This window comes from Homo sapiens, chromosome 7 (assembly GCF_000001405.40).
Source record: "Homo sapiens chromosome 7, GRCh38.p14 Primary Assembly".
Taxonomy (NCBI): Eukaryota; Metazoa; Chordata; class Mammalia; order Primates; family Hominidae; genus Homo; species Homo sapiens.
This window is the reverse complement of record NC_000007.14, coordinates 152,462,384-152,472,226: the sequence shown is the minus strand read 5'-3', so window position 1 is coordinate 152,472,226 and position 9,843 is coordinate 152,462,384. Positions and strand designations below refer to the sequence as shown.

The 9,843-nt window shown below is 48.8% G+C and overlaps 1 long non-coding RNA gene across 1 annotated transcript, besides 4 other annotated features; it reads right to left on the bottom strand.

Annotated features, from left to right (window-relative positions):
* Positions 1 to 6,681: 6,681 nt before the first annotated feature.
* LINC01003 (long intergenic non-protein coding RNA 1003) lies at positions 6,682 to 8,103 on the bottom strand. The gene has a single exon (NR_027387.1). It is a non-coding gene; the product is annotated as a long intergenic non-protein coding RNA 1003 (long non-coding RNA).
* Positions 7,178 to 7,677: an enhancer, noted in NCBI's record as "H3K27ac hESC enhancer chr7:152161635-152162134 (GRCh37/hg19 assembly coordinates)". NCBI's record gives its function as "activates a minimal SCP1, AML or CMV promoter by ChIP-STARR-seq in naive H9 embryonic stem cells {active_cell/tissue: H9 hESC(naive)}" and the evidence as "EXISTENCE:reporter gene assay evidence [ECO:0000049][PMID:30033119]".
* Positions 7,178 to 8,471: a biological region, named in NCBI's record as "H3K27ac hESC enhancers GRCh37_chr7:152161133-152161634 and GRCh37_chr7:152161635-152162134".
* Positions 7,452 to 8,471: a silencer, noted in NCBI's record as "silent region_18834". NCBI's record gives its function as "represses an Ori minimal core promoter by ATAC-STARR-seq in GM12878 lymphoblastoid cells {active_cell/tissue: GM12878}" and the evidence as "EXISTENCE:reporter gene assay evidence [ECO:0000049][PMID:35858748]".
* Positions 7,678 to 8,179: an enhancer, noted in NCBI's record as "H3K27ac hESC enhancer chr7:152161133-152161634 (GRCh37/hg19 assembly coordinates)". NCBI's record gives its function as "activates a minimal SCP1, AML or CMV promoter by ChIP-STARR-seq in naive H9 embryonic stem cells {active_cell/tissue: H9 hESC(naive)}" and the evidence as "EXISTENCE:reporter gene assay evidence [ECO:0000049][PMID:30033119]".

Sequence of the window (9,843 nt, the reverse complement as noted above, 5' to 3'; positions counted from 1 at the left end):
GACAGCTATTCCAAATGGGAGAAATTGGCCAAACAAAGGGGTTACAGGGCCCATGCAAGTCTGAAATCCAGTAGGGCAGTCAAATTTTATTTTATTTTATTTTGTTTTATTTTATTTTATTTTATTTATTTTAGAGTCTTGCTCTGTTGCCCAGGCTGGAGTGCAGTGGCGCAATCTCGGCTCACTGCAACCTCTGCCTCCCATGTTCAAGCAATTCCCCTGCCTCAGCCTCCCAAGTACCTGGAATTACAGGGCCATGCCACCATGCCTGGCTAATTTTTGTAGCTATTTTTAGTAGAGATGGGGTTTCACCATGTTGGCCAGGCTGGTCTAAAACTCCTGACCTTGTGATCCACCTGACTCGGCCTCCCAAAGTGCTGGGATTACAGGCATGAGCCACCACACCCGGCCCCAAGGACAGTCGAATTTTAGAGCTTCAAAATGATCTCCTTTGATTCCAGGTCTCACATCCAGGTCATGCTGATGCAAGAAGTGGGTGCCCATGGTCTTGGGCAGCTCTGTCACTGTGGCTTTGCAGGCTATAGCCTCCCTCCTGGCTGCTTTCATAAGTTTGTGTTGAGTGTCTGTGGCTTTCCTAGGCACATGGTGCAAGCTGTCCGTGGATCTACCATTCTGCGGTCTAGAGGATGGTGGCCCTCCTCTCACAGCTCCACTAGGCAGTGCCCTAGTAGAGACTCTGTCTGGGGGCTTCGACCCCATGTTTCCCTTCTGCACTGCCCTAACAGAGGTTCTCTGTGAGGGCTCCGCCCCTGCAGCAAACTTTTGCCTGGGCATCTAGGCATTTCCATACATCTTCTGATATCTAGGCAGAGGTTCCCAAACCTCAATTTTTGACTTCTGTGCATGTGCAGGCTCAACATCACATGGAAGCTGCCAAGGCTTGGGGCTTCCACCCTCTGAAGCCACAGCCCGAGCTCTACAGTGGTCCCTTTCAGCCACGGCTGGAGCGGCTGGGACATGGGGCAACAAGTCCCTAGGCTGCACACAGCATGGGGACCCTGGGCCTGGCCCATTATACCACTTTTTCCTCCTGGGCCTCTGGGCCTGTGATGGGAGGGGCTGCTGTGAAGGTCTCTGACATGGACTGGAGACATTTTCCCCATAGTGTTGGGGATTATCATTAGGCTCCTTGCGACTTATGCAAATTTCTACAGCCAGCTTGAATTTCTCCTCAAAAAATGGGTTTTTCTTTTCTACTGCATCAGAGGCTGCAAATTTTCTGAGCTTTTATGTTCTGTTTTCCTGTTTTTTGTTTTTTGTTTTTTGAGACGGAGTTTCACTCTTGTTGCCCAGGCTGGAGTGCAATGTTGCAATCTCAGCTCACTGCAATCTCTGCCTCCCCAGTTCAAGCAATTCTCTTGCCTCAGCCTGCTGAGTAGCTGGGATTACAGTTGCACGCTGCCACACCCAGCGAATTTTTGCATTTTTTAGTAGAGACACGATTTCACTATGTTGGCCAGGCTGGTCCCAAACTCCTGACCTCAGGTGATATGTCCACCTCGACCTCCCAAAGTGTTAGGATTACAACCATGAGCCACTGTGCCTGGCCTCTGTTTCCCTTTAAAAACTGAATGCTTTTAACAGCACTCAAGTCACCTTTTGAATGTTTTGCTGCTTAGAAAATTCTTCTGCCGGATACCCTAAATCATCTCTCTCAAGTTCAAAATTCCACACATCTCTAGCACAGAGCAAAATGCTGTTAGTCTCCTTGCTAAAACATAACAAGAATCACCTTTGCTCCAGTTTCCAACAAGCTCCTTATCTCCCTATGGGACCACTTCAGCCTGGACCTTATTGTTCATATCACTATCAGCATTTTTTTAAAGCCATTCATCAAGTCTCTAGGAGGTTCCAAACTTTCCCACATTTTCCTGTTTTCTTCTGAGCCCTCCAAACGGTTCCAACCTCTGCCTGTTACCCAATTCCAAAGTCCCTTCCACATTTTTGGGTATCTTTTCAGCAACGCCCCACTCTACTGGTACCGATTTACTTTATCAGTTTGTTTTCTTTCTTTCTTTTCTTTTTTTTCTTTTTTTTTTTTTTTTTTGAGATGGAGTTTCGCTCTTGTTGCCCCAGGGTGGAGTGCAATGGCACGATCTCGGCTCAATGCAAACTCCACCTCCCAGGTTCAAGCCATTCTCCTGCCTCAGCCTCCTGAGTAGCTGGGATTACAGGCTTGTGCCACCACACCCAGCTAATTTTGTATTTTTTTTAGTAGGGACGGGGTTTCTCCATGTTGGTCAGGCTGGTCTCGAATTCCAGACCTCAGGTGATCCACCCACCTCGGCCTCCCAGAGTGCTGGGATTTATTAGTTTGTTTTCACACTGCTGATAAAGACATACCAGAAACTAGGAACAGAAAGAGGTTTAATTGGACTTACAGTTCCACATGGCTGGGGAAGCCTCAGAATCACGGCGGGAGGCAAAAGGCACATGGCGGCAGCAAGAAAAAATGAGGACGAAGCAAAAGCAGAAACCCCTGATAAACCCATCAGATCTCATGAGATGTATTCACTACCACAAGAGTAGCACGGGAAAGACTGGCCCCCATGATTCAATTACCTCCCTCTGGGTCCTTCCCACAACACATGGGAATTCTGGGAGTTACAATTCAAGTTGAGATTTAGGAGGGTGGGGACAGAGCCAAACCATATCAGTATTCCAAACACAGATCCCTGCAGTGGCCAGGTGGTGAAGATAAATGACTGTACTGAGCCTGATATATGGAGTGTACACCCTGTGTAAAGAGGGCAGCAGCTAGTCAGCAATACCGCAGGTAATCGTGCAAGAAATGGCCAAATCTGACTGATTTCCAAAAGAAGTTACAATTCTGTATTCTTATCTGAAATCTCTTATTTTTTATTTTATTTTATTTATTTATTTATTTATTTTGAGATGGAGTCTTGCTCTGTCGCCCAGGCTGGAATGCAGTGGTAAGATACAGCTCCACCGCAACCTCCACCACCCGGGTTCAAGTAATTCTCCTGCCTCAGCCTCTCAAGTAGCTGGGATTACAGGCGCCTGCAACCACACCCAGCTAATTTTTTGTATTTTTAGTAGAGATGGGGTTTCACCACGTTGGCCAGGCTGGTCTCGAACTCCTGACCTGAAGTGATCCACCCGCCTTGGCCTCCCAAAGTGCTGGGATTACAGGTGTGAGCCACCATGCCCGGCCCTGAAATCTCTTATTTTTTAAATCTTGGAAACTAATGTTAAAATTTCTAGACATTGTAGAGACAAACAATACATATCTGTGACCACTGATTTGTAACTTCCAACTCAAGGTGTATTTGTTTCCCATTCACAAAATATTCCACCCCTTTGGGTTTGAGCTGAATTTCCAACCACAGAGTCCTCAACCTCAGCATTCTGAGCTGCCCTGAGAATGTCCTTACCAAGGTAAAGCCACCCACCCTTCTCCCCAGAAGCAGTAAGAAGACTTACTGCTTTTTCCTCCTAGTCTAGGAAATTCACTACCAATTGAGAAATAAAACTGTGCCAAGACATTTGGGTAGGAAATTATAAAAATCATCCTTACAGAATTATACATGAAATGTTTGGGCAAAATAGTAACTCCATTTATAAAGGTAATTAATTTCCCAAACCTATTCCAAAAGTTTGCTAGCAGGGGATATAACAGAAGAAATAATTAAGGCAAAGGCTGGGCGCGGTGGCTCACGCCTGTAATCCCAGCACTTTGGGAGGCCGAGGCGGGTGGATCACGAGGTCAAGAGATCAAGACCATCCTGGCCAACATGGTGAAACCCTGTCTCTACTAAAAATACAAAAATTAGATGGGTGTGGTGGCGCGAGCCTGTAGTCTCAGCTACTTGGGAGGCTGAGGCAGGAGAACTGCTTGAATCCAGGAGGCGGAGGTTGCCGTGAGCTGAGATCATGCCACTGCACTCCAGCCTGGCGACAGAGCAAGACTGTCTCAAAAAAATAAAAATAATTAAGGCAGAATGTTTCTAATTTTCATCTTTAAGAGGAACGGAAAGAAGTAGATTTCTTCGGCTGGGCGCGGTGGCTCATGCTTGTAATCCCAGCACTTTGGGATGCCGAGGCGGGCGGATCATGAGGTCAGGAGATCGAGACCACGGTGAAACCCCGTCTCTACTAAAAATACAAAAAGATTAGCCGGGCGTGGTGGTGGGCGCCTGTAGTCCCAGCTACTCGGAGAGGCTGAGGCAGGAGAATGGAGTGAACCCGGGAGGCGGAGCTTGCAGTGAGCCGAGATCGCGCCACTGCACTCCAGCCTGGGTGACAGAGCGAGACTCTGTCCCCCCCCCCCAAAAAAAAGGAGAATTAGCTTTCTTCTGAAATTAGACGTTAAGGCCAGGTTCCTCACACCTATAATCCCAACACTTTGGGAGGCCGAGGTGGGTGGATCACCTGAGGTCAGGAGTTCGAGACCAGCCTGACCAACAAGGTGAAACCCCGTCTCTACCAAAAACACAAAAATTAGCTGGGCATGGTGGCAGGCACCTGTAGCCCCAGCTACCTGGGAGGCTGAAACAGGAGAACTGCTTGAACCCGGGAGGCAGAGGTTGCAGTGAGCAGAGATCACGCCACTGCACTCCAGCCTGGGCAACAAGAGTGAAACTCCGTTTCAAAAAAAAAAAAAAAGAAATTAGACGTTAAAAAAAGATGTGACACATCATATCAAAATTGTCTACACTACATTAAAGGAGTTAAAAATACTGAAATGCAGCAAGACGAACTTGTCTCGAGACAGGGTCTTGCTCTGTTGCCCAGGCTGGGGTGCAGTGGCGCCATTATGGCTCACTGCAGTCTCGACATCCCGTTCTCACGCAATCCTCCTGCCTCTGCCTCTTGAGTAGCTAGGTCTACAGCTATGTGCCACTACGCCCAGCTAATTTTTTGTATAGATGAGGTTTTGCCTTTTTTCCTTTCTGTAGAGATGAGGTTTTGCCATGTTCCCTAGGCTAGTCTCCAACTCCTGGGCTCAAGCCACCATCTGCTCTGGCCTCCGAAAATGCTGAATTACAGGTGTGAACCACTGTGCCTGGCCGCAATATCATTTAGGATTGCATTTTGTTTAGATTTTTTAATTCTTTAGTTTTTCTTATTATGGTAATATAATAGATCTAGGAGCTAAATTCCAGTATTCAATTTTTGTACAATGATATGCAATTCATTCTCATGATTTGACAGTGTTGACTTTCTATTATTGACAATCTCGTGATCTGAAGAAAAACACTTGTGGTTTTATTATCTTTTTAGTGGGTATTAAGATCAAAATGATGAGCACAAAAAAAAAAAAAAAACGAAAAAAAAAAAGAGGGCCGGGCTCATGACTATAATCCCAGCACTTTGGGAGGCCGCGCCGGGTGAATAACGAGGTCAGTAGTTTGAGTCCGCCTGGCCAACATGGTGAAACCCCATCTCTACTAAAAATACAAAAAATTAGCTGGGCATAGTGGCGGGCGCCTGTAATCCCAGCTACTCAGAAGGCTGAGGCAGGAGAATCGCTTGAACCCCGGTGGCAGAGGTTGCAGTGAACCGAGATCGCGCCACTGCACTCCAGCCCTGGTGACAGAGTGAGACTCCGTCTCAAAAAAAAAAGAGAGAAGAAAACAACCTTCAGTAGGAATAGATAACAAAACATTTGAAATAAGATATATATTTATATACCCAATGAGGGCTAAGAGTTTCTAGCACTGTTGAGGTTGCCAATTGGTCAAAACAGAAAGCAACGATTCCCTTTGGAAAATTAGCTGGCAGTAAGGAACTGGCTACAATGACAAGCCAATAACCATATATGAAAGGTCTCTTTTTGTTGCTTTGTTTGTATTTAATTTCTATTTAAAAGATTGGAACCTCTATTCCTACCTTAATAGCATTTACTAAATGTTAATAGCATTTACTATTTATATTACTATTTATAAATAGTATTTATAAATGTAATAAATATGGTAGTTCAAGTGTAATACTACAGCTAATTATGAATAAGCTCATTCTTAATGTTGAATTTAAGGAACATATATATCTATATATAGATATCTATATATAGACCTATATATCTATATATAGATATCTATATATCTATACATATATCTATATAGATCTATAGAGATCTCCATAGATCTATATATCTATACATACATCTATATAGATCTATAGATATCTCTATAGATCTATATATCTATACATTTATCTAGATATATAGGTATCTATATATATCTATACATATATCTATATAGACCTATATATAGATATCTATAGATATATACTTATATAGACCTAGATATAGATATCTATATATCTATATCTTTATATATCTATATATATATATAGATATAGATTTTTTTTTTTTGAGACGGAGTCTCGCTCTGTTGCCCAGGCTGGAGTGCAGTGGCACAATCACTGCAACCTCCGCCTCCCGGGTTCAAGAAATTTTCCCGTCTCAGCCTCCCAAGCAGCTGGGACTGCAGGCACCCGCCACCACGCCCAGGCTCATTTTTGTACTTTTAGTAGAGAGTGGGTTTCACCATATTGGTCAGGATAGTTTCCAACTCCTGACCTCAGGTGATCCGCCTGCCTCGGCCTCCCAAAGTGCTGGGATTACATGCGTGACCCACAGCACCCGGCCATATTTTCTTTCTATTTTTTGTAAATAAAAAAACATACGTCTGTACATTCCGTACATAGTAATATTTTATTTTCTTCCCAATGTGGTAACTAAAATACATTTAAACGAAGGCTAGAATTTAAAACAAAATTCTTTTACTGATAAGCACACTTGCAAAGTAATGAAAATGTTACATGCATTGCTTTGCATATAAACGTCCAAGAAGTATTTGTTGACCAAATGTCTGAAAATGAAGTATTTTTATCTGTTCCGAAACGCCATAATATTGCAAAGAAGCATTTCAAATTATTGTTGTGTGAAATGTTCAAATTTAGCATTCAAATTTAGCGTTTTCCCACATTTTACCCTTCAATTTACACAATTTGGAAGAAGAGTAGATGAGTTGGTCATTGTTACTTAAAACAATGCGTCACCTTGTTAGGGAAAGAAATTAACATAATGGTCAAGGAGTGATAATTAAACAGAACATGACATTTGCTGTCCATTCAATGTTAAAGTTCTAAGCAAATTAGCATGGAGAAAAGGGATGGGTAGAAATAATAACAGAGCACTAGTTGATTAGTCCGCCTCCACATCCACGCTGCAGGCGTTGGACAGATCCGGCTTTACTGAGTCCACCATGCAGGGAAATGGACGCGCGGGCTAAGCGGAATCCCAGGGGCGCGATCGCACCGGCTGGCGTTCCAGCAAACCCTGCATCCCAGGCCCTGGATTCAGGCTGCCTTCTGAGTCTTTGACTTATTTTCCTTTGCCTGGAAACAGAACGCCGCGGTCCGTACCGGAGAGGGAGAAAGTGCAGGACGACCCGCCGGGAAGACCCGAGCGCGTGCGCCTTCCCCGCGGCTCCACGGGCACAAAACGGTGGCTCCGGAGCTCCTAGACCCAGGCAGCCCCAGCTGCGCGCGCGCCTCCCCCCGAGCGCGGCCGGGCTCCCGCGGGAAACAAGCGACCGCGGCACGCGTGGGCGCGGCGGGTGGGTGCCGGCGCCAGGTTCCTCCCGGCTCCCCACTGCGGATCCTCGCGGCTCCTCCCGGCTCCGCCCAGCGGCTCACCCCGCGGACGGGGATCCCTCCGCCCACCGCCGGCCCTTCCGCGCCAAGTAGTGCGACCCCGGCCCCCGCAGCTTCCGCCAACCCAGGCTCGCGAGGACGAGTCCACGGTCGCGGGCGAGAAGGAGCGACGCAGAGACGGCCGGGGGCGCGGGGCAGTCCCGAGGTTTTCCCCGCGAGGCCGCGGGGGGTCTCCCAGTGGCCAGGGAGAGAGCGCGCCCAGGTCCGCGGAACCACGGCTCCTGCCGCGGCGAGCGGGCCGGGAGTCTACGGTCGGGGCAGAGCCGCCCGGGAAGCCGCGCGAGGACGGCGGCCGGCGGCCGGCGGCGGAGGCAGGTGTCCCGAGGCCTGCCCCACCCCCACTACCGCGGGCAGGAAGAGGAAGGAGCCGCGGCCGTGCCTGGCGGGCGGGGGTGCCCGACCCGCGGAGCGCGTGACCTAGTTCGTCCCAAAGTGGATTTGACAGGTTGTCAGCTCCACTCCCCGCCCCCACCGCCTTCCGGGTCTCCCTCCTCTCGGGGGGAGGCCCACCGCCCGCGGTCCTCGGCTCGGCCTCCCATTGGCTCTCTCGCCGCCTGGCGCCCCGCCCTCTCGGTATCACCCTTCCATTGGCTTGGGACCCCGCCCCTGCCCCTAACTCACCCTCCCACTGGCTTCGTGCCGCCTGGCACCCCGCCTCAGCCCAGAGGACCCGGCCCGCCCTCCCATTGGCCTCGCACCGCCTAATTCCCCGCCCTCGCCCCGGCCCGCCCTCCCATTGGCGTCGTTTCGCCTAGTGCCCCGCCCTCGCCCCGGCCCGCCCTCCCATTGGCCTCGAGCCGCCTGGCGCCCCGCCCCTTCCGCGGGCCCCGCTCCCAGCGCAGCCCGGCTCTCTGCTTGTCTGCGGGTTCCTGCGGGCGTTCCTCAGTGTCTGCCTTCTTCCTTCCCTCTTGAGTGTTGCTCCTCTTCCTCTCCTTTTTTCCATGTCTCTCCTTTTTCTGATCTCCTCCCGTTTCGGCAGCCCGAGCGCTCTTGCCCGGTTGCACCCCGCAGCCTGAGCTGGGCTCCCGGTGCCGGCTGCCTGAGCTCCAGGACCTGCCCTGGGGCCCCCTACAACCTTCCCGCCGCTCCCGGAACCTGACCCCTCTGTGCTTCACTTCTCGGTTTTCTTCCCTGAAATAAGCAGCAGCGAATCCCTTCTCCAGGTTTTCTCATGTGTTCAGTCTGCAAGGCTTCTCCCTTTCTCCACCCTGCGCCTCGGTTTCTCCCCCGCTTCCCCGCCCTCCCTAAACTCAGCCAAGTGGAACAGATCTCCCAGCAAAACAAGGCAGAGGGCGAGGATAAAAATGATAAATGTCAATATCAACATTTTTATTGCTTTAGGTTTTTAAAACAGAAAATTAGCAGGAACGCCCAGATCGACCCAGACCTAGGATCAAGATGGAGTTTCTTAAAGTACCAAGTGAGACTGCAGTGACAAAGTCGATTATCCCAGCAATATAATCAGCTTTGCCTGGGGAATTTACTTTTACTTTGTTTTTATTTGTTTGTTTGCTTTGAGATGGAGTCTCGCTCTGTCGCCCAGGCTAGAGTGCAGTGGCGCGATCTCAGCTCACTGCAACCTCCGTCTCCTGGGTTCAAGCAATTCTCCTGCCTCAGCCTCCCAAATAGCTGGGAGTACAGGCGCCCACCACCATGCCCAGCTAATTTTTGCATTTTTAGTAGAGACGGGGTTTCTCCATGTTGGTCAGGCTGGTCTCGAATTCCTGACCTCAGGTGATCCGCCCGCTTCGACCTCCCAAAGTGCTGGGATTACAGGCGTGAGCCACTGCGCCCGGCCTACTTTTAGTTTATGCAGTATTCTGGCGATTTAAAGTTTGTATTTTTTTTTTAATTTTCTGAGCTCGTTTTGTAAATGGCTGCTCTTGAACGTAAGGATAAATTGACTGATGAGGCTGAGGTTTGGAGCCAATCCCCGCACAAGGCATTTGGCATCAAACACGAGAAACCCTTGGCTATTCAAATGAGGAAACTCAAGTAACTTTCCCAGGGTCACTAAAGTCGGAGACCTCAAACGTGGACCCAGGTCAGGCTCCAGAGGTCCACCAGGACGACCCATCATGGCTCATGAATGTATCCGTAAAAATGGCAGAACTGCTCTTTCCAGCTGCCTTCCTACCT